Source organism: Homo sapiens, chromosome 12 (genome assembly GCF_000001405.40).
Source record: "Homo sapiens chromosome 12, GRCh38.p14 Primary Assembly".
Classification (NCBI taxonomy): domain Eukaryota; kingdom Metazoa; phylum Chordata; class Mammalia; order Primates; family Hominidae; genus Homo; species Homo sapiens.
The window spans coordinates 21,203,448-21,228,607 of NC_000012.12; the positions used below are offsets into that span (position 1 = coordinate 21,203,448).

Genomic DNA, 25,160 nt, shown 5'->3' on the forward strand with positions numbered 1-25,160 from the left:
CATTCAAGCAACAAGCAGAGATGCTCAGATCACAATTCAGTAACCATGTTCTTTAGTGCTGCTTACTACTGGTGCTGAGCTTTCAAAGTCTGGATCCCATGAGGTGTTGGTTTTAACTTGTCAAATATTCCCACATTTTCTTCTATAAACATTGTGCTATTCTTGGAGGCTTGCCAAGGTTATCTGAAATTGTTTCCCTGCACACTGCTAATTCTGAACTGTTATTGGTATCTCCTATCCACCATCAACTACTGTAGTAAATTAAAATACATTGTCCTAGAATACTGAATTTTAGAGGTAAAAGAACCTTAGAGATGATGCAATCCAACCCTTGTATTATACTTTCCTTTATTATTGAAGAGTCAGAAAAAATGTAACATGTTGAAGTCACACAATGTCTTTAGACTCTAGACTGATCCTATGTCACACCCTTAGTTCAAAAGCCTTCTTGGTTGTAAGGACAGGCCAGTTTCTTGACAACAAGGTTAGTCACTGTACAAAGTATACAAAAGATGGCAGCAGAGTTAAACAGAATTTGTTTCATTTAATAAAATTTTATTAAGCCTTTCCTTAAAGGTAAATATTAAGGATATTTGTAGGATACATCAGTTCCCTCATGGGACTCATAATCTAATGATAAATAATATAATTAATGGATTCAACATTCATAAAATCCTGCGACTGGGATAAGTTTTTTTTTAAGTATGAATTATTGCAGAGGTCTCGGAATGTGTTCTGAATATCTCTAAGGATCCCTGAGACTTTATCAAGGGGTGCACAACTTCAAAACTATTTTTATAATAATACTAAGACATTATTTGCCTTTTTATTCTCATGCTATCCTGACAGTATAGTGATATTTTCTAATGCTCCAAGGTATGTTATTAATTCATTAATCTGACTGCTAAAATATGTGTGCTTATGTACTTTTGTGTATTAAAATTTTCTTAGTATTACTTTCTAATATAGTACATGTCAAGAGGTACAACTTAATTTAACAAAATCCCTTTGGAACAAGCCCTCAATCTTTTATAAGAGTGTGAAGGACTTCTGAGAACCAATTTTTTTTCCAAAAAAAAAAAAAACCCTGTGAGGTTGGCATTATTATCTATGACTTACAAATGGCAAAACTGATTTTAGAAAGAAGTGCCAGAATTAATATAAACACAGATGTGACTGATTGCAATATCTGGACTGGGTCATTGTCTTAGTCCATTCAGGCTGCAAAGTTCTAGGTAGCTTATTAATACACAGAAATTAATTTTTCAAGATTCTAAAGGCTGGAACATGTAAGACCAAGGTGATGGCACTTTTGGTGTCTAGGAAGGGCCCATTTCTTAATTTATAGACGGTACCTTCTCATTGTGTCCAGGCATGGTGGATGGGGCAGGCAAAGGGTCAGTAATTCCATTCATGAGTACTCATCCTCATGACCTTATCACTTTCTAGAGGCCTGACTTCATAAAGTCTTCATATACGAGATTAGTTTTCAATCTATGAATTTGGGGGCCACAAACATTCTGACTATAGTAGTCATAAACCATTCTACTTAACCACTCCAAGTAGTATTTCCTCAAGCAGAATATGCTTTTTAATAAAATTATTGATAATGTAGTTTCTGAAGTATGAATCTTAGTTTTTCATTTAAATTATGTGCTCATTCAAAGATAACACATCAATCCTCAATTATTATCAAATTAAACATTTGAAAGAAAATAATTTTTTAAATGTTTAAGCAGAAATGAATTATACAAAAAATATATTTTATAATTTTAGCTATGTTATAATCATATTTTATAATTTATAACCATTTCATAAAGGAAATCAGTATAAAGTATACTATAGTTTTATTTCAAAAATATACTGAGCTTTTCTAGCCTTTTTCAACTGATTCTATTCTTGATTTTTCATTTTGTAGAGGTTCTGCTTTAAGCATGTCTGTTTTTTTCTTACATATTAAAATAGAGATTTTTAAATTCAACCTAGTTAAATAGCATTCGTAGACTCACAAGACTTTACAGTGAGCTGAAAGGAATGTCAGTCTAATGTCATCACCTTACTGAAGAGAAACTCAGTCTCAGAAAAAAGATGTAACTTATCTAATGTGAAGTTTCTTCATAGAATTATAACAACTTCTTGTCTAAGTCCTACTTAACATCTTTGGTTTATTTTTACATTTTGCTTTTTCTAGGTCACAAGTCATGTATTGGCAAAGATGGAGAGCGTAAAATAAATAAGCATTAAAAAAAACTTTGCCATTTCGTCATCATCAAAGCAAATTTCTTCATATAAAGAAAAATTCTTTATCTACTTTTTTTCCCTCTTTCTCTGCTTTCACTTTACTTCTTCCTTCTCCTCCCCTTCTTTGTCTTTTTCTTCTCTCTCTCTCTTTTTGATATATGTCTATCATATATTTCCAGAAATAATCCAGTGACATCTCATAGAGATGTACCACTTTCTTATTGCAACTCAGACTGCAATTGTGATGAAAGTCAATGGGAACCAGTCTGTGGAAACAATGGAATAACTTACATCTCACCCTGTCTAGCAGGTTGCAAATCTTCAAGTGGCAATAAAAAGCCTATAGTGAGTATTAGTTTTTACTTTCCTCTCCTTATTCAAAAGCACAGATTAGATTGAACAATTTTTTACCAAATATTTCTGTAACTAAGGACTCCATTAAAAAGATAAAAGAGAAAGTTTCCAGTATTATCTGTTATTGTGATGGGTGTGATGTATAAACAAAGTTTTATATAAAAGTCTGCTTAGGGCACAATCAGGTTTTTCTGTTACTTGAATTCTAATTGGAGATCACCCCACTTTTTTCCTTTGAGATTGTAAGACTATGACCTTTTAGAATTTGAATGCATTTAGAATATCTAAGAAGCACCTCATTTGACTAAAGCCTATAATTTTCATTAAGTTGGAATTACTTTATCCCTCAGAATTCAGGAAAATGAGTTAACCCATTGTCAGCACTTCCTATCTTACTAAGACAACAGTCAATATGCAATGTTATATACAGATTCTGATCTGTTTAGCTCTGGGATCACTACCCTTTTTACTTTTTAAGAAATTAATCAAGGCTTCATGCTCACTTGACTGCCCTATTCTTGATTTTCTATTTTGATTTTTCCAAAGCTGGCACTTCTACCCAAGATAATGTAGTATCCTGCTCACCTAATGTCAATATGTCCCATAGAAATGTCATTTATTCCGTCCTGCAAAACCTTTCTTTCCATGTGAACTACAGTTTTTCTCTAATCTCCTGGGTAGCTACCTGTCACTGGGAATGGGTTATGGTGTTTCCCATACCTACAATCCACTCAACATCTCACAAAGTTGTGTAATGTTTTCCTAGGAACTTTTACTATTACCAACATTACTAAAACAGTCAACTATAATTATTGCTCTCTGCCACACCCTTCTGTGTTTGATTTTTAAACATTCTCCATCTACTCTTGCCCATGGATCTACCTACCAATTATAATAAGGAATGGCATGTAGAATTTTAAAGAATAAAGCATCCTGGACTTTTTGAAGAAAGGCCACAACTTTAATAAACTTGCACAAATATGGCCCAAAGACTACTTAAAAGCCCACATCTTAGTCATGGCAACAATGAATCTTTTGTGCAGTTGTTTCCTTTTCCTTTGCTGTTTATTTTTATTTTGCTGTTTTTTAAAAAAATAATTTAACTCTTATTTTAGGTAAAGGGGATACAAATGAATTTGTGTTAGATGGGTATATTGTGATAAGCTAAAGTTTAGGGTACAATCATTCCCATCCCCCAGGTAGTGAGCATAATACCCAATAAGTGGCTTTTTAGTACTTGCTGTTTTTTATCTCTCCACTCTAGTAGTCTGTAATATGTATTTTTCCTGTCCTTATATTCGTGTGGACCCAGTGATTAGCTTCCACTTATAAGTGAGAACATGTGGCATCTGGTTTTCTGTTCCTATGTTAATTCACTTAAGATAATGACCTCCAGCTGCATCCAGGTTGCTGCAAGGGACATTATTTCATCCTTCTTTTGGCCATGTAGTATTCCATTGTCTATATGTACCACATTTCTTTATCTAATTCACTGTTGACGGGCACCCAGGTTGAGACCGTGTCTTTGCTATTGTGAATAGAGCTGTGATGACCATAGAAGTATATAAGTAGATGTGTTTTTGGTAGAAGAATTTATTTTCCTTTGGGTATATACCCGGTAGTGGGATTGCTGAGTTGAATGGTAGTTCTGTTTAAGTTCTTTGGGAAATCTCGAAACTACTTTACACAGTGACTGAACTAATTTACATTCCTACCAACATAGGATAAGCATTCCCTTTCTTCTGCAGCCTTGCCAGCGTCTGTTTTTTTAATGTTTTGAACCAGTCAGCCCTTCTGACTGGTGTGAGATGGTATCTCCTTGGGATTTTGATTTGCATTTTTTTGATGATTAGTGATGTTAAACATTTTTATGTGTTTGTTAGCTGCTTGTATGTCTTCTTTTGAGAAGTGTCTGTTCATGTCCTTTGTCTACTTTTTAATATTGTTTTTGTTTTTTGCTTGTTGAATTGTTCAAGTTTCTTATAGATTCTGGATATTAGTCCTGTGTTAGATGCATGGTTTGCAAAGGTTTTCTCCCATTCCATAGATTGTCTTTTCACTCTGTTGATTATTTTTGTTGTGCAGAAGCTCATTAGTTTAATTATATCCCACTTGTCCATTTTTTTTGTTGCAATTGCTTTTGAGAACTTAGTCACAAATTTTTTGCCAAGGCCAATATCCAGAATCTTTTCTTGGTTTTCTTCAGTGGTTTTTATAGTTTTAGGTTTTACATTTCAGTCTGTAATACATTTTGATTAAATTTTTTATATGAAAAGAAGGGGTCCAGTTTCATTTCTCTGCATAGTTAGCCAGTTATTCCAGCACCATTTACTGAATAATGAGTACTTTCCCCATTGCATTCTTTTTGCTAACTTCATTGAAGATCAGATGGTTTTAGGTGTGTGGCTTTGCTTCTGGGTTCTCTATTCTGTTCCTTTAGTCTAGGTGTCTGTTTTTGAACCAGTACTATGCTGTTTGGTTACTGTGGCCTTGCAGTATAGTTTGATATCAGGTAATGGGATGCCTCTCACTTTGTTCTTTATGCTTAGGATTGCTTTGACTATTCAGTCTCTTTTTTCCTATGGAATTTTACAATAGTTTTATTCTAATTCAGTGAAAAATCATGCCGGTTGTTTGATAAGAATACCATTGAATCTGTAGATTGCTTTGGGCAGTATAGACAGTTTAATGATAATTTTTCTACCAATCCATGAGAGTAGAATGTTTTTCCACTTGTTTGTGTCACCTATAATTTCTTTCATCAGGGTTTGTATTTATCCTAGTAGAGATCTTTCACTTCCTTGGTTTAAATGTATTCCTAGGTATTTAATTTATTGTAGTTATTCTAAATGGAATTGCATTATTGATTTGGGTATCAGTTTAACTGTTATCGGTGTATAGAAATGCTACTAATTTTTTTCCATTGATTTTGTATTCTGAAACTTTATTAGAGTATGTTGTCAGTTCTAGGAGGCTTTTGGCAGAGTATTTAGGGTTTTTTTTTAATTAATTAATTTATTTATTTTTAATTATACTTTAAGTTTTAGGGTACATGTGCACATTGTGCAGGTTAGTTACATATGTATACATGTGCCATGCTGGTGCACTGAACCCACTAACTCGTCATCTAGCATTAGGTATATCTCCCAATGCTATCCCTCCCCCCTCCTCCCACCCCACAACAGTCCCCAGAGTGTGATATTCCCCTTCCTGTGTCCATGTGATCTCATTGTTCAATTCCCACCTATGAGTGAGAATATGCGGTGTTTGGTTTTTTGTTCTTGCAACAGTTTACTGAGAATGATGTTTTCCAGTTTCATCCATGTCCCTACAAAGGACATGAACTCATCATTTTTTATGGCTGCATAGTATTCCATGGTGTATATGTGCCACATTTTCTTAATCCAGTCTATCACTGTTGGACATTTGGGTGGGTTCCAAGTCTTTGCTATTGTGAATAATGCCACAATAAACATACGTGTGCATGTGTCTTTATAGCAGCATGATTTACAGTCATTTGGGTATATACCCAGTAATGGGATGGCTGGGTCAAATGGTATTTCCAGTTCTAGATCTCTGAGGAATCGCCACACTGACTTCCACAATGGTTAAACTAGTTTACAGTCCCACCAACAGTGTAAAAGTGTTCCTATTTCTCCACATCCTCTCCAGCACCTGTTGTTTCCTGACTTTTTAATGATTGCCATTCTAACTGGTGTGAGATGGTATCTCATTGTGGTTTTGATTTGCATTTCTCTGATGGCCAGTGATGATGAGCATTTTTTCATGTGTTTTTTGGCTGCATAAGTGTCTTCTTTTGAGAAGTGTCTGTTCATGTCCTTCGCCCACTTTTTGATGGGGTTTTTTGTTTTTTTCTTGTAAATCTGTTGGAGTTAATTGTAGATTCTGGATATTAGCCCTTTGTCAGATGAGTAGGTTGTGAAAATTTTCTCCCATTTTGTAGGTTGCCTGTTCACTCTGATGGTAGTTTTTTTTGCTGTGCAGAAGCTCTTTAGTTTAATTAGATCCCATTTGTCAATTTTGTCTTTTGTTGCCATTGCTTTTGGTGTTTTAGACATGAATTCCTTGCCCATGCCTATGTCCTGAATGGTAATGCCTAGGTTTTCTTCTAGGGTTTTTATGGTTTTAGGTCTAACGTTTAAGTCTTTAATCCATCTTGAATTGATTTTTGTATAAGGTGTAAGGAAGGGATCCAGTTTCAGCTTTCTACATATGGCTAGCCAGTTTTCCCAGCACCATTTATTAAATAGGGAATCCTTTCCCCATTGCTTGTTTTTCTCAGGTTTGTCAAAGATCAGATAGTTGTAGATATGCGGCATTATTTCTGAGGGCTCTGTTCTGTTCCATTGATCTATATCTCTGTTTTGGTACCAGTACCATGCTGTTTTGGTTACTGTAGCCTTGTAGTATAGTTTGAAGTCAGGTAGTGTGATGATGCCTCCAGCTTTGTTCTTTTGGCTTAGGATTGACTTGGCGATGTGGGCTCTTTTTTGGTTCCATATGAACTTTAAAGTATTTTCCAATTCTGTGAAGAAAGTCATTGGTAGCTTGATGGGGATGACATTGAATCTGTAAATTACCTTGGGCAGTATGGCCATTTTCACGATATTGATTCTTCCTACCCATGAGCATGGAATGTTCTTCCATTTGTTTGTATCCTCTTTTATTTCCTTGAGCAGTGGTTTGTAGTTCTCCTTGAAGAGGTCCTTCACATCGCTTGTAAGTTGGATTCCTAGGTATTTTATTCTCTTTAAAGCAATTGTGAATGGGAGTTCACTCATGATTTGGCTCTCTGTTTGTCTGTTGTTGGTGTATAGGAATGCTTGTGATTTTTGTACATTGATTTTGTATCCTGAGACTTTGCTGAAGTTGCTTATCAGTTTAAGGAGATTTTGGGCTGAGACAATGGGGTTTTCTAGATATACAATCATGTCATCTGCAAACAGGGACAATTTGACTTCCTCTTTTCCTAATTGAATACCATTTATTTCCTTCTCCTGCCTAATTGCCCTGGCCAGAACTTCCAACACTCTGTTGAATAGGAGTGGTGAGAGAGGGCATCCCTGTTTTGTGCCAGTTTTCAAACGGAATGCTTCCAGTTTTTGCCCATTCAGTATGATATTGGCTGTGGGTTTGTCATAGATAGCTCTTATTATTTTGAAATACGTCCCATCAATACCTAATTTATTGAGAGTTTTTAGCATGAAGTGTTGTTGCATTTTGTCAAAGGCTTTTTCTGCATCTATTGAGATAATCATGTGGTTTTTGTCTTTGGCTCTGTTTATATGCTGGATTACATTTATTGATTTGTGTATATTGAACCAGCCTTGCATCCCAGGGATGAAGCCCACTTGATCATGGTGGATAAGCTTTTGGATGTGCTGCTGGATTCATTTTGCCAGTATTTTATTGAGGATTTTTGCATCAATGTTCATCAAGGATATTGGTCTAAGATTCTCTTTTTTTGTTGTGTCTCTGCCTGGCTTTGGTATCAGAATGATGCTGGCCTCATAAAATGAGTTAGGGAGGATTCCCTCTTTTTCTATTGACTGGAATAGTTTCAGAAGGAATGGTACCAGTTCCTCCTTGTACCTCTGGTAGAATTCAGCTGTGAATCCATCTGGTCCTGGACTCTTTTTGGTTGGTAAGCTACTGATTATTGCCACAATTTCAGATCCTGTTATTGGTCTATTCAGAGATTCAACATCTTCCTGATTTAGTCTTCGGAGAGTGTATATGTCAAGGAATTTATCCATTTCTTCTAGATTTTCTAGTTTATTTGCGTAGAGGTGTTTGTAGTATTCTCTGATGGTAGTTTGTATTTCTGTGGGATCGGTGGTGATATCCCCTTTATCGTTTTTTATTGTGTCTATTAGATTCTTCTCTCTTTTTTTCTTTATTAGTCTTGCTAGCGGTCTATCAATTTTGTTGATCCTTTCAAAAAACCAGCTCCTGGATTCACTAATTTTTTGAAGGTTTTTTTTTGTGTCTCTATTTCCTTCAGTTCTGCTCTGATTTTAGTTATTTCTTGCCTTCTGCTAGCTTTTGAATGTGTTTGCTCTTGCTTTTCTAGTTCTTTTAATTGTGATGTTAGGGTGTCAATTTTGGATCTTTCCTGCTTTCTCTTGTGGGCATTTAGTGCTATAAATTTCCCTCTACACACTGCTTTGAATGCGTCCCAGAGATTCTGGTATGTCGTGTCTTTGTTCTCGTTGGTTTCAAAGAACATCTTTATTTCTGCCTTCATTTCGTTATGTACCCAGTAGTCATTCAGGAGCAGGTTGTTCAGTTTCCATGTAGTTGAGCGGTTTTGAGTGAGATTCTTAATCCTGAGTTCTAGTTTGATTGCACTGTGGTCTGAGAGATAGTTTGTTATAATTTCTGTTCTTTTCCATTTGCTGAGGAGAGCTTTACTTCCCAGTATGTGGTCAGTTTTGGAATAGGTGTGGTGTGGTGCTGAAAAAAATGTATATTCTGTTGATTTGGGGTGGAGAGTTCTGTAGATGTCTATTAGGTCCGCTTGGTGCAGAGCTGAGTTCAATTCCTGGGTATCCTTGTTGACTTTCTGTCTCATTGATCTGTCTAATGTTGACAGTGGGGTGTTAAAGTCTCCCATTATTAATGTGTGGGAGTCTAAGTCTCTTTGTAGGTCACTCAGGACTTGCTTTATGAATCTTGGTGCTCCTGTATTGGGTGCATATATATTTAGGATAGTTAGCTCTTCTTGTTGAATTGATCCCTTTACCATTATGTAATGGCCTTCTTTGTCTCTTTTGATCTTTGTTGTTTTAAAGTCTGTTTTATCAGAGACTAGGATTGCAACCCCTAACTTTTTTTGTTTTCCATTTGCTTGGTAGATCTTCCTCCATCCTTTTATTTTGAGCCTATGTGTGTCTCTGCACGTGAGATGGGTCTCCTGAATACAGCACACTGATGGGTCTTGACTCTTTATCCAATTTGCCAGTCTGTGTCTTTTAATTGGAGCATTTAGTCCATTTACATTTAAAGTTAATATTGTTATGTGTGAATTTGATCCTGTCTTTATGATGTTAGCTGGTTATTTTGCTCTTTAGTTGACGCAGTTTCTTCCTAGTCTTGATGGTCTTTACATTTTGCCATGATTTTGCAGTGGCTGGTACCAGTTGTTCCTTTCCATGTTTAGCGCTTCCTTCAGGAGCTCTTGTAGGGCAGGCCTGGTGGTGACAGAATCTCTCAGCATTTGCTTGTCTGTAAAGTATTTTATTTCTCCTTCGCTTATGAAGCTTAGTTTGGCTGGATATGAAATTCTGGGTTGAAAATTCTTGTCTTTAAGAATGTTGAATATTGGCCCCCACTCTCTTCTGGCTTATAGGGTTTCTGCCGAGAGATCCGCTGTTAGTCTGATGGGCTTCCCTTTGAGGGTAACCCGACCTTTCTCTCTGGCTGCCCTTAACATTTTTTCCTTCATTTCAACTTTGGTGAATCTGACAATTATGTGTCTTGGAGTTGCTCTTCTCAAGGAGTATCTTTGTGGCATTCTCTGTATTTCCTGAATCTGAACGTTGGCCTGCCTTGCTAGATTGGGGAAGTTCTCCTGGATAATATCCTGCAGAGTGTTTTCCAACTTGGTTCCATTCTCCCCATCACTTTCAGGTACACCAATCAGACGTAGATTTGGTCTTTTCACATAGTCCCATATTTCTTGGAGGCTTTGCTCGTTTCTTTTTATTCTTTTTTCTCTAAACTTCCCTTCTCACTTCATTTCATTCATTTCATCTTCCATTGCTGATACCCTTTCTTCCAGTTGATCGCATCGGCTCCTGAGGCTTCTGCATTCTCCACGTAGTTCTCGAGCCTTGGTTTTCAGCTCCATCAGCTCCTTTAAGCACTTCTCTGTATTGGTTATTCTAGTTATACATTCTTCTAAATTTTTTTCAAAGTTTTCAACTTCTTTGCCTTTGGTTTGAATGTCCTCCTGTAGCTCAGAGTAATTTGATCGTCTGAAGCCTTCTCTCAGCTCGTCAAAGTCATTCTCCATCCAGCTTTGTTCCATTGCTGGTGAGGAACTGCATTCCTTTGGAGGAGGAGAGGTGCTCTGCTTTCTATAGTTTCCAGTTTTTCTGTTCTGTTTTTTCCCCATCTTTGTGGTTTTATGTACTTTTGGTCTTTGATGATGGTGATGTACAGATGGGTTTTCGGTGTGGATGTCGTTTCTGTTTGTTAGTTTTCCTTCTAACAGACAGGACCCTCAGCTGCAGGTCTGTTGGAATACCCTGCCGTGTGAGGTGTCAGTGTGCCCCTGCTGGGGCGTGCCTCCCAGTTAGGCTGCTCAGGGGTCAGGGGTCAGGGACCCACTTGAGGAGGCAGTGTGCCCGTTCTCAGATCTCCAGCTGCGTGCCGGGAGAACCACTGCTCTCTTCAAAGCTGTCAGACAGGGACATTTAAGTCTGCAGAGGTTACTGCTGTCTTTTTGTTTGTCTGTGCCCTGCCCCCAGAGGTGGAGCCTACAGAGGCAGGCAGGCCTCCTTGAGCTGTGGTGGGCTCCGCCCACTTCGAGCTTCCAGGCCGCTTTGTTTTTCCTAATCAAGCCTGGGCAATGGCGGGCGCCCCTCCCCCAGCCTCGCTGCCGCCTTGCAGTTTGATCTCAGACTGCTGTGCTAGCAATCAGCGAGACTCCATGGGCGTAGGACCCTCCAAGACAGGTGCGGGATGTAATCTCGTGGTGCGCCGTTTTTTAAGCCCCTCGGAAAAGCGCAGTATTCGGGTGGGAGTGACCCGATTTTCCAGGTGCTGTCCGTCACCCCTTTCTTTGACTGGGAAAGGGAACTCCCTGACCCCTTGCGCTTCCCAAGCCAGGCAATGCCTCGCCCTGCTTCGGCTCACGCACGGTGCGCGCACCCACTGACCTGCGCCCACTGTCTGGCACTCCCTAGTGAGATGAACCCGGTACCTCAGATGGAAATGCAGAAATCACCCGTCTTCTGCGTCGCTCACGCTGGGAGCTGTAGACCGGAGCTGTTCCTATTCGGCCATCTTGGCTCCTCCAACCAGGGTTTTTGAGATATAGAATCATATCATAGTGCAGAGAGATAATGTGAGTTCATTTCCTATTTGTCAGTGTTTTATTTCTGTCTCTTTCCTGATTGATCTGTCTAGGATTTCCAGTACTATGTTGAATAGGAGTGGTGAGAGTGGGCATTCATGCTTTGCTCCTGTTCTTAAGAAGAATGCTTCCAGCTTTTGCACATTATATATGAAGTTGGCTGTGGTTTTATCATAGATGGCTCTTATTATTTTGAGCTATGTTCCTTCAATGCCCAGTTTGTTGAAGAACTTTATCATAAAAGGATGGTGGATTTTATTGAAAGCTTTTTCTGCATCTGGTGAAATGCTCATATACTGTTTATCCTAAATTCCATTTATGTAGTGAATCACATTTATTGATTGTGTATACTGGACCATCCTTACATCTCAAAAATAAAGCCTACTTGGTCATGATGAATTCACTTTTTGATGTGCTGCTGGATTCAGTTTGCTAGTGTTTTGTTGAGGAATTTTGCACCTATATGCATCTATATTCATCTATATTCACCAGGGATATTGGCCTGTTGGTTTGTTTTTGATGTTGTTGTTGTTTTTGTGTCTTGCTATATTTTGGTACCAGGATGATTCTGGCTTCAAAAAAATCAGTTAAGAAAGAGTCCTTCTTTCTCAATTTTTCAGAATAATTTAGTACAGTGGGTACTCACTCTTTTTTGTATTTCCAGTAGAATTTGGCTATGAATGCATTTGGTCTAGGGCTTTTATTGATAGGCAGGTTTTTTCAGTACTGATTCAAATTTGGAACTCTATATTAGTGTTCAGGGTTTCAATTACTCTTTGTTCGTCTTGGATGGTTGTTGGATGGTTCATTTTGGATGGTTGGATAAGAATGACCCAGTTAATACATGCTCCCTCTTTGCACACTAGCGAAGGCCTGAAAGTGATAGAATATTAGAACCCTAAAAAGAATTGTGTCTACCACAAGACATAATCTTCATTATACTGGCAATGACTATGCCATTTGGGGACTATTGCAAAGTTTTTATTATTTATTTATTTGTGTATTTATTTATTTATTACTAAATCCTCAATAATGAACCATCACTTCTTAAAATAGTGTTCTTTGTACCAAAGCTTAGTTTTATTGACCAATACACTTGTTCCATAAAAAATTCCTCTATATTATTCCTAGTGAAAAAAAATAGTAAGAACTGTAAGTTTGGCAGAACTGTAGATGTATAGATTTAAATTCTTCTACAATTCTTCCTTCAATAATTGATCTTTAGCATTAATAGATTCAACGTGAGGTTCCCTTAAACTTTAGCCTAGATTTAGAACAGAATTTATTAAAGCCACCTGTCTATATAAACTGTTCAACTGATTAAAAATCTGAAATCACTTGTTTCTACATTTTCCACTTCTGTGCTCTAAACACTAGTGGGGCATTCTGTTGTGTTTAACCTCTCTGGTAATAATATCATCTGTCATTGTATCCTTGGATTTTGTTTATGCCTGCTAAATTAAAATTTTAGCATCTCTACCTGTCTCTATTTTTCCTGGACTCAGTGCCATTTTCATGGGTGACTCCAGTTAAATTTTGATTACTCCCAAACTGCTAAATTATCTGAATTCTTTGGATAATTCCTCCTCAGGGCATGTCTCTGAAACTTAGAGATTGTCCAAAAGAGTATGTGCTCTGCAGAGGGTAAAAGGGAATGGAAAATAATTATTAAAGAGAATCTATAGTGATGAGAAAATTGTATACAGAGTTCTAGGCACTAATTTCTTTGTTTCTTAGTTTTAAAATTAAGAATGAACTAAATGTCAATCATGAATTACATTGTCTTATATAGAAAGAAATCCACAAAACTATTTTACCTTTTATCTCTTAAGCAACTGTATTTTTAGAATCTTCTTAAACTGTAAATATATTAGTTTGAACAAGTGAGACTTCACTAAATATAATGCAATGTATTTGCAGCACTGTTAGGTCTTGCAAATTTCTTATGTCATATTTTATACACAACGCTTAAGGTGTTTTACAACTGCAGTTGTTTGGAAGTAACTGGTCTCCAGAACAGAAATTACTCAGCCCATTTGGGTGAATGCCCAAGAGATGATGCTTGTACAAGGAAATTTTACTTTTTTGTTGCAATACAAGTCTTGAATTTATTTTTCTCTGCACTTGGAGGCACCTCACATGTCATGCTGATTGTTAAGTAAGTATGACTTTTAAAAACATTTTCATATGCATGAGACTATAAACACACCTAATGATATGCATATTTTTACATAATATACTGGGAATTCAAATTCATATTTCATCAAATTTTAATTTTCTGAGAATTCATTTTATTAAAATTACTATGAACTCTCAAGGCTGTAATTAATAATTTTGCCTCTAATTCTTCCATTAAAAGTCCAGATTCCATACGTTTCTTCTCTTACTAAGAATCTGAAGACACAGACTGACAATTCTCTCAGTTGTAAAAGAATCGCCCTAGGATCCTAAAAGAACTTGTTGAATTTTGAGTTGCCTTACATCCTAATGAGAGATGCCTTGCATCTCTCAGGGTAAATCTATTGATTTCACTAAAATAAAGCATTTGAAAACTAGATATAAAATATGCTCCATTTGATAACATTCCAAAACTTTTAATCGACTCACAGCATGACTTTTATAATACCCTTGTAGAAAAATAAAAAAATACACAGGAAGAATTAGTTCCTTTCTTGGCTCATTAGAAAAGATACAATGCTTGGTGAATATTACATGGTAAATGAAACCAATAAGATACTTGTTGTCATACAGCTTTCAAAATTACAGGAAAGACTGGTGTGAGATAAATAATCTTAAAATCAAAGCACATATTTATAAATTGTTCTGAGTCCTCATCAGGAAAAAGATTTCCCTAAAAAGAAAGATTCAAAAGGAAAGTTAATTTAGGATTGAGGTGGGGGGCTGTGAAGAAGAGGATTCAGAGTACATCTCAAAATAAGTAACATTTATTCTAAAGGTCTAAAGAAAAAGCCAAATGAAAGGGTTTCCAGGAGAGGGTCTTGGTGCTGACGCCTTAATACAGGAAAGAGCTGGTGTGTTTGAGAAATGAAAAGAAGCTGGCAGATTGAAACATACTGAATGAGAGGTTGTGACACATGATAAGATTGGAGAGTTAGGAAGGGTGCAGGTAATGCATGCCCTACTGGCCAAGTTGATTCAATCACCTAAAACTTGTAACATGTAAATAATTGCTTTTAGATCTTAAAAATATACATGTGTAAGTATAGTGACCTGGGTTAACATTCAATTGTACTTTTAAAACTTACATTGTTGATCATAAGTTCACTGTCAGCCAACAGCATGACATGGTAGAGATGAAAAAAAAAAGCATTTTTAACATTTGTTAACATTAGTATCAACCTGTAAATTGAATTTACAGTTGTTTAATTTTGACCCTGACTGCAAATCTTATCAAATTATTTATACTAAATATGCCACAGATATAGCTCCATCTTAATATAAAATGTTGTCTACTCAAAAGGAGAAGTCTTTCATATTTGCCAAATTAAATTCATTAACATATTAAAAATAACCTTAAAATTAAATAATAGTCTGCATATCAACAGGTTTTAGCTTTTTATTTTAAACTCATGAGTTTGAAAAAACACTGTTCCATCATCGATGATAACAATATCATATCTGTTTCAGAAATTGATTAAATCAGCATTACAACTTGTCAAAAATATTTAACTCTTGCTAGCCTTTGATTTTATTGAAATAAGCATTTTGTGAATATGACTACAGAATAAAAATATAAATTTCAGTTTGTTAATAGTTTTCTAATGCTTAACACTATGAAGCTATTTTTTAAACTTGATTAAGTAGGCAGAAGGACATCCATTTATTCAATATGTATTCATTTTTTATGTCAGGCATAGTTGTATGCACTGAGGATGCAACTGTGAACAAAAGTGATAGAACTTTATAAGCTTTTAGTATGGGTGGGGAATGAAGGAATGAATGTGTGTAGCAGAAAACACAGTAAACAAATAAGTGAGTAAACATCTAAAATAGAGTAAGTGTGAAGCACTAGAAAGATAAATAAATCACAGTTAAGAAAATAGAAAAAAATGAGAAAATAGGCAAGAGATACTAGTTCAGATATGGTGCTTTGGAAGTCCTTTGAGTAAAGACCTGAATGAAGAGATAGAAAATAAAGGTACAAGCCATGCTAAATGGAGACATAGGAGGAACAATCCAGGCAAGGTAGAAGAAAGGTCAGCGTCCTGGTGTGAAGTATAGTTGACATGTACAAGGTCCAAAAACGTGTGTAAGGAGGAGAGAGGTGACAAGTGCAGCAAGAGAGCTAGCCTAGTTCAGATCCTATGGGTCACAGGAAAGACTTTGAAATATATTCTAAATGTGTTGAAAGCCCAAGGGGATTTAAGCATTAGTATTTGCAAAGATGCCTTACATAACTAGAAGATCACTCTGGCTGTGGGTAGAAAGTGTGTTTTGTGAAAACAATAGTGAAGTCAGGGAAAACAGAAGGCTTGAATTGTTCTTCTCAAGATGGAAGCTTGATTGAGAATGCTGATAATAGGAAAATATGAAGTAAATGAAATGAGTAAATGAAACAAATATGAGTCTCAGTTGTTTTGCTTTATTTTATTATATTTATTTATTTATTTTTGAGAGACAGTCTTGCTCTGTCACCCAGGCTGGAGTGCAGTAGCACAACCTTGGATTGCTGCAACCCTCCGCCTCCCAGGTTCAAACGATGCTCCTGCCTCAACCTCCTAAGTAGCTGGAATTACAGGTGCACGCCACCGTGCCTGACTAATTTTTGTATTTTTAGTAGGACCTGGTTTTACCACGTTGGCCAGGCTGGTCTCAAACTCCTGACCTCAAGTGATCTGCTAGCCTCTGCCTCTCAAAGTGCTGGGATTACAGGCCTGAGCCACAGCACCTGGCCTTTGTTTTATTTTTTAATGCAAAGCCAGTAGGGTTTGCTGAGACATTGAATGTGGCATGTGAGAAAGATAATTTAAGGATAATCCCAAAGTTCTGGCTTGAGTTCTGGAAGGATGGTGGTACTATTGAACAAAATGGGAAAGACTAAGAAAGGGTAGATTGGGAAAGTGAAAAAGCAAGAATTTGTTCTATCTCTATAAAGCTGAGCAGCCTGTTCAATATCTAGCAATGTCATATATGCAATCCAACAGGAGAAACCTTGATGCCAGAGCCATAAATTTTAGAGTCAGCAACGTACAGATGGTATTTATTTTTATTTTTACTTATTTATTTATTTAGAGACAAGGTCTCATTTTGTTGTCCAGGCTGAAGTATAATGGCATGATTATAGCTCACTGTAACCTTGAATGCCTGTATTCAAGCAATCCCCCAAGGCGGTATTAAAATCCATGGAACTAATGAGATCTTCTAGGGACTGAGTACAGATAGAAACAAGATCCTAGGATCAGTTCTCAATCACTCTAATTTAAAGATCACTAATAGGAGAAACCAATAAAGAAAACTGAGGAGGTTTCATGAGAAAAACTAGGAAAGAGCGTTGTCCTCAAACTAATAAAGCATATGTCAAAAAGAGCATAAGTAACTGTGTCAAGGGCTGCTGAGAGTTCACAGGAGTTGAACCTGGGAGGCGGAGGCTGCAGTGAGCCAAGATCGCTCCACTGCACTCCAGCCTGGGAGACAGAGCAAGACTGGTCTAAAAAAAAAAAAAAAGAAAAGAAAACCACAAACCAATATCCCTGATGAACATATGAAAAAATTATCAATAAAACACTAGCAAATCAAATCCGATGGCACATAAGAAAAATTTTATAACATGATCAAGTTGTTTTTATTCTAGGGATGAAGGGTTGGTTCAACATATATAAATCAATAAATGTGATTTGCCACATAGAATAAACTAAAAACCAAAACCATTTGATAAGACAAAATTAAAAACAAAAACCATATGATCATCTCAATAGATGCAGAAAAATTATTTGATAAAATTTAACATCTTTCATGACAAAAATCCTCAACAATCTGGGCATCAAAGGAACATACCTCAAAATAATAAAAGCTATGTATGACAAACCCACTGCCAACTTCATACTGAAAGGAAAAAAGTTGAAAGCATTCTCCTGAGACCTGAAACAAGACAAGTGTGTCTATTTTCACTACTCTTACTGCACATAGTATGGGAAGTCCTAGCTAGAGCAATCAGGCAATAGAAAGAAAGAAAAGGTATCCAAATTAGAAAAGAGGAACTCAAATAAACTCTGTTCACTGATGATATGCAACAATAACAACAAAAATAGACTAATGGGACTTAAACTAAAAATTTCCTGCACAGCAATGGAAATAATCAACAGAGTAAACAGACAACCTACAGGAAGGGAAAAAATATTTACAAACAATACATCTGACAAAGGGCTAATATCCTTAATCTATAAGAAATACAAAAAAACTCATCAAGAAAAAAATTATTAAAAATAGGGTAAATGATACGACCAGCATGTTTCAAAAGACAAACAGTCAACAAACAACAAACATATGACAAAATGCTCAATATCACTAATCATCAGAGAAATGAAAATTAAAGCTACAGTGAGATTCCATTTTATACCAGTCAGAACGGCCATTACTAAAAAGTCAAAAAGCAAGATACTGGTAAGAATGTTGAGGAAAAGGAATGCTTATATACTGTTGAGAATATAAATTAGTACAACCTTTATGAAAAACAATGTGGAGATTTTTCAAGTATCTGAAAATAGAAGTACCATTTGACCCAGCAATCCAACTATTGGATATCTACCAAAAGGAAAGTAAATCATTTTATGAAAAAGACTCATGCTCTTTCACACTTATTATAACACTGACTAGACCACAAAAAATCAGTATCTTCAGAGGCATAATAAAGTCTGTTCTAACCACTTCCTCATAGGATTTTCATAAGTACCATATGAGAAAATATTTTAAGCCATCTTGAAATCATGATGCATTGAATAAATAAGGGAATAATTATTATTATTGCTCAAGTGTTTGCCTTTTAAAACAATTAAAATATAATTTTATATAATGGGGCCATTCAACTGTGAGCTTAATTCTATCATGGAGAAAAACAACACAGGAGAAGGTTTAATGTTGTTTCGTTTTGATATTTTAATGATATTTAATGTTTCTTTGCCTTTGTCTTGTTTCAGAATTGTTCAACCTGAATTGAAATCACTTGCACTGGGTTTCCACTCAATGGTTATACGAGCACTAGGTATGATGAAAAAAAAAAAAAAAAAAAAAAAAAATATATATATATATATATATATATATATATACACACACACATACATATATTAAATTTAAGTTATAAATATTAATGTCAAGGATTAAAGACTGTAATGAATCTTTAATTATGATAGTAAATAAAATTAGTATCCTTTCTATTTCTGTGATAAATAAAAACAATAAGAGACAGAGTAAAATTGAGTGATGGACCTAAAGGAGAATTCGATTGTTAATTATACATAAAGTCAATCTGTTAAGACTAAGGAATTATTGTATTTGTATTACACTCTTTCAAACACAAAGATAGATGGTCCTCCAAATTTTTCTTTTTTTTCAGAAAAATAAGAATATTTCCTCCCAGTAGGCAGAGTGAAGGGCCTAACTTCTAAACTGTGGCATGATTTAGGCAAGGCCTAAAGCTAGCTTGGGAAGCGTGGGAATCTGGTCAGAGAATCTGGCCAGGCTATGGCCAAATTACAATGAAGAAATTGTCTAAGAAGCGTATTTGATGATAAAGTCACAAATCCTCAAAGTTAAAAAAGAAGAAATATAAAGGGAATAGAAGAGAGGAAATGAGATGCTATAGTATTCTGTTGGTTTTCTTCCCTCCGTTCCGTTTTGTGTGTCTCTAATCTCCCAGACTCTGTACATTCTGGCAGGTTTCTACCTTCAGTTTCAATGGAGATACCTCTCTGCTAGAACCTGGGTGACAAAAGCTTAAAGTAACATCTGGGTTGTTAGTACTCCTTCTCATATGTAGAAATGAGACTATGAGAATGGAGTAAAATTTTTTTTAGCAATAGAAAATAGGAAAAAAAATGAGTTTCACCATTCTAATTCTGAGTATCCTATTTCGATGTATCCAATCTGTGGCACGATGGAACCTAAATGCACCTATGGAAAAAATACACATTTAGTACAAAACTTTCAATTCATAAACAATTGTCTTGAATACAATAAACGTGTAAATTGTGGAAGGCCTATATATTTACCTGAAAAAGTCATTTAGAAAATAGGTTATGAGTTTTAAAATTGTAGTGATTAGGACAAAGTTTATTACTTAAAACAATCCATTACGTTTGTTCAAATCAGTGGCATTATGTGGGGAAAATAAACTGTTAGCATATATTTTTCATTTTTCAAAGGGTGGCTGTGATTTTTGAAACCTGAAAATTTCTCACTCATTTCCTCAGTACCGGGTTTTCTCAGATACATTGGCCTCAGTCCCTTGTCATTTTAATATTTCTCACTCTCAAAAAATTGAGACTGAGGAAAACTAAATGGAATTAGTAAAATTGTGATATATCAATCACTATCATTTTATCCATGGCAAAATAAATTCTGAAAATTATTCACCACAATACAAAAAAAAACAAAGTAAAGTTATGAACACTTTAGTTGCACCATCTTAAGGACAGTTCTCTACTGGCGTGTCCCTAAAATTCTTCATCAAATTACCTTTGCCTAGAACCAGGAGTGAATCTCAGAGTTCATTAAAACAGCAGTGGAAGCAGATGGACACTTATTATATAAACAACATATCTGTCTGTGAAAAGCCTTGCATTCTGCTAAATCATGAGCTACAAATAAAAATTAACTAAGAAAAAGACCACTGAAAACTTATCATTGTGATCAGAACACTAACACAAACAAAATTCAGTACCACAAGCCCTAACTTAGCCTAAGCTGCTTCAGGAGGTATTTACAAATGCACAAAATCAATTGTAGAAAATCACTGGACTGTGAGCTCTAATGACATCAATAAGTGGGAAGTAGATGTCTGAGCCCAGAAAAAAGTACAACCTGCCAAAAGCTAAGCACTCTCTGAAGCTCAGCCTATACTTATCTGGGGAGGGAGTTCTGATGAAGCACTCACTTTTAAATTCTCTTAAAATAATGTTAAAAAAAAAAAAAGTCTGCTTTTACAGCAATTGAGCCAAGATCTTTTTCCTTTCCCCATAAAATTGTAATTCTACTCCATTTCAGGTTTCTTTGCCTAAGAAAAATCCCATATTAACCAACATAACTTCCAAGTTTTACTAACAACATTCTCCTTTTTACCATTCAGGCTTAAGTTAATTGTTATCATAAGAAGAACAGAGTATATATGCATGTATGTAGGGAGGGTACGAGTAGGTAAAAGGTGTCAATGACATTACTACATGATTTGGGTCTTTGAGATTTCTAATAATCTTTATTATTGGGTAGATGCAGAACAAAATAATAAACGAATCCTCCAAATTTTTGAACTTTTATTTAATCAAAATATATCAATGTGGAATATCATGCAGTTACATTTAAAATATGTTCCCTAAACTGACATCTTCTCTTCTCCTATTACAGGAGGAATTCTAGCTCCAATATATTTTGGGGCTCTGATTGATACAACGTGTATAAAGTGGTCCACCAACAACTGTGGCACACGTGGGTCATGTAGGACATATAATTCCACATCATTTTCGTAAGTTGTCATAAATATATTTCATTATTTTTTCTTTGACTATATTAATTCCTAAAAAATATCATTTTCATTATATAATAATATTAATAATGATAGCCACCATTTAATGAAAACTGACTTTGCATGCAGTATGGTATCAAGCAATCTCGTATCTCATTTTAGTACTCATAGAAACTATAGGAAATGGATATTTTCTTCTATTCTGTTATATACGAAGAAACTGTGATTCAAGGATAATAACCAACTTGTCAAAAATCAGAGATAATAGAAAATGGCTAGGATTTGTATGTGAATCTTTTTTGTTTCCAAAACTCTCCTCATGTCAGTATATATAAGGATAAATATACACATGTAAATATAGACACAGACATATATATATGCATGTGTGTGTATTCGATTGCCTCTGACTTCTCTAGAAAGAAACAGAATGACTAGCTGGGGCTCTGGTCATATGTCAATTAAGAAAAAACGGGAAAATATGTTTCTATATTACTCTATTCGTGGGGAGAGATATTCCGTAAGTGACATGAAGATAACTGCATGGGCATCTGGAAAAACAAAAAGCTACAATTATACTTTACCTCTTTAAAAAAAAACTAATTTCAAATTCATATATTGACAAATTATACACTTTGAAATGTGAAACTACATGTATTAAAACTCATAGTATAATTTCTTTCAATTATCTACGAAGCAGAAACTAAGTATGACCCAAATGCCCAAAACCATAATAGAAAAAAAGACAAAATATTTATAAAATCTGCATCATTAAACTTTGAAAAGGAAATTTCAAAGTGAAAGTATAAATTAGGAGAATAATTTGCAACTTGTAACACAGACACAGGCAAATATCCCGAATATATACGGAACTCTTAAACATCAGCAAAAAAACCATCCAATGCTGGCAAGGATGCAAAACAACAGGAATTTCCTTTAATTTTTCTTTCATTGCTGGTGGATATGTAAAAAATAGTACAGCCATGGTAGAAGACAGTCTGGAAGTTTCTTACAAAGAAAAACACAGGCTTATGATACTGTTAAGTAATCATGCACCTAGGTATTTACCTAAGTTAGATGAAAACATGACCCCACAAAAACCTGCACTTGCATATGAAAAAATGGAAGCAAACAAGATGTCTTTCAATAGGTGAATGGATAGCCAAACTGGGGTATATTCATACAATAGAAAATTATTCAGCAATAAAAAGAAGTGACCTATCAACTCACAAAAAGACAAGAAAGAAATTAAATGCATGTAGCTAAGTGAAAGAAGGCAGTCTAAAGAAGCTTCTGGGCCTGGTGCAGTGGCCCATGCCTGTAATCTAGGCACTTTGGGAGGCCAAGGTGGGAGGATTCATGAGGCCAGGATTTCAAGACCAGCCTGGACAACATGACAAAACCCTGTCTCTACTAAAAATACAAAAATTAGCCAGTCACGGTGGTGCACATCTGTAATTTCAGCTACTTGGGAGGCTAAAGCACAAGAATCCCTTGAACCCAGGAGGCGGAGGTTGCAGTAAGCCAAGCTCATGGCACTGCTCTCCGGCCTGGCTGACAGAGCGAGACTCTGTCTCAAAAAAAGAAAAAAAAAGAACATTAAAAAAAATTAAAGAAGCTTCTGACTGTATTATTCTAACTGTATGACCTTTTGTAAAAGGGCCAAACTATGAAGACAATGAAACATCAGTGGTTGCTAGGAGCTCAGTGGGGAGAAGATAAGGATGAGTAGGTGGAGCACAGGGCATTTTAAGGGTGGTGAAATGATTTTATATGATATTATCATGTTGGATACATGATGTTATGTATTTGTCAAACCTATGGACCCATACCCATACAACATACAAACCACATAAAAAGCAAACTCTAATCTAAAATATGAATTTAATAATAATGCATTCATATTGGTTCATCAATTGTAACAAAGTTACACACTAATACAAACTGTTAATGATAGGGGAAACTGTATGTGTGGGGCGGGGAGTATATGGGACTTCATACTTTCTGTACAGTTTTTCTGTAAATCTAAAATTTCTGTAAAAAGTATGTTCTATTAAAAAAAATCAAGTATCTCCCAAAGAAAAAATCACGAATGGCTATTAAATATATAAAAAGATGCTCAAATTAATTGATAATGACAGGATTGCAATTAAAACTCACCCAAATTGTCAACCATCAAAAATGTTAAGTAGACATTGTCTTGGCAAAAGTACAGAACTTTGAGCCAGCAGCAAACTTCTAGAAATTTATCCTACAGATAACTATACTCCCAAATAGATAAAATGGCACATATATAAGATTACATACATGTGTATGGCAACATTGTTTATGATGGCAAAATATTGGAAGCAACTTAAATATCTCTTGATAAGGGAGTAATTAGATAAATAGTTCTACCTGCAGGAAAATGAATAGTCTGATGTCTTGAAAAAAGAAGAAAAAATTATTTGTTTACTAATATGGAACCTTCTTCAAGACATATTTTTATATGAAAAAAAAGAACCATGAAGAATGTGTATGGAGCATGCTATCATTTATATGAAAGTGGAGGTTTATTAGTTCAGGATACATCTCTGGAGTAAAGACCTAGGATCAAATTTACCAAACAGACTCTCTTCCATTTAATGTGTAAATTCACTATCTAAAATCCCCAGCAGATAAAATGATCCAACTTTTTCCAGAATTGTACCCCACAGACATTCTCACAAATTTATTTAAATATTAATGACAGAAAATGTCTCACAAAATGGGAGAAAGAAATGAAAAGAAATTACAAATGAAAACTTCATAAATTTATCTTAATGACTTTATTTAAGAATGTGTTCATTTTTTATTGAAATCATCATGTATTTCCAGGACACCTGGCAAGATGCTCCTCAGAATTTCCCCAAAGCAATGACCACAACTTCAAGTATTAATGTAACATTTTGAGATGGCTTTATAATGGTTTGAGTATAAAAAGACCCTAAAACTATTTTTTAAGCCATACTAGTTCCTTTTTGTTCAGTGAAGGTTTAGTTAGAACTAAAATGGAATTTAAAAATATTTTATGTTAATTGATTTATTAATGCATTCTTCTTGTTGAACAACTGGTATAGTATCCAAATTTTTAATATACTGCAAAGACCATTGTGATAACATTATATAGTGTATATGTGTACTATATATATTTAATATGCATATATATGCATATATAAGACAGACATATTATATATATGTTATTCTTGTGTACTTTAATTTATGCTCATCCCAAGACTTTAAGATTTAAAGGGTCGGTCTTTGTACATCCCCACATATTTATCATTTTCTTTTCTCTGATTTCTTCTTGCATGTCAGATTCTATCTAGGGTCATTTTCCTTCTGATTAAAGTCGATTTTTAAAAATGTCTTTCAGTGAGCTCTTTAGTGGCAAATTGCCAATTTAAATTTCTCTGGAAGGAACTTTAGTTCAACTGTATACTTAAAAGAAATGTACAAGGTATAGAATTCTAAATTGACAACTATTTTCTCTTGTCAGATTGAAGATATTACTCTATTGTCTTCTAAGTTCCATTTTACTCTTGATAAGTAAGCTGTTGTCTGTTTTCTTGTTCCTTTAAGGTAACCTCACTCCTCTGTGGATTCTTTAAATATCTTGTCTTAATCCCTGGAATCTGTAATTACACTATGTTCAGGTTGCAGATGGAATAAGTTTGCTAATTAGCTGAACTCAAGATAAGAAAATTATTTGGTTGGGCCCAATATAACCACAAATATCCTAAAAAATAAAAA

The 25,160-nt window shown here is 35.2% G+C and overlaps 1 protein-coding gene across 1 annotated transcript in view, besides 1 other annotated feature; it reads left to right on the forward strand.

The window, feature by feature from the left end:
* Positions 1-25,160, forward strand: part of SLCO1B1 (solute carrier organic anion transporter family member 1B1) — a 108,603-nt gene that overhangs the window by 72,254 nt on the left and 11,189 nt on the right. The window contains exons 11-14 of the mRNA NM_006446.5: positions 2,421-2,586; positions 13,672-13,856; positions 18,853-18,917; positions 21,275-21,392. Coding sequence (NP_006437.3) covers positions 2,421-2,586; positions 13,672-13,856; positions 18,853-18,917; positions 21,275-21,392 — 534 coding nt within the window. The remainder of the gene's footprint in view (positions 1-2,420; positions 2,587-13,671; positions 13,857-18,852; positions 18,918-21,274; positions 21,393-25,160) is intronic.
* Positions 11,344-11,941: an enhancer, noted in NCBI's record as "H3K27ac-H3K4me1 hESC enhancer chr12:21367725-21368322 (GRCh37/hg19 assembly coordinates)". NCBI's record gives its function as "activates a minimal SCP1, AML or CMV promoter by ChIP-STARR-seq in primed H9 embryonic stem cells {active_cell/tissue: H9 hESC(primed)}" and the evidence as "EXISTENCE:reporter gene assay evidence [ECO:0000049][PMID:30033119]".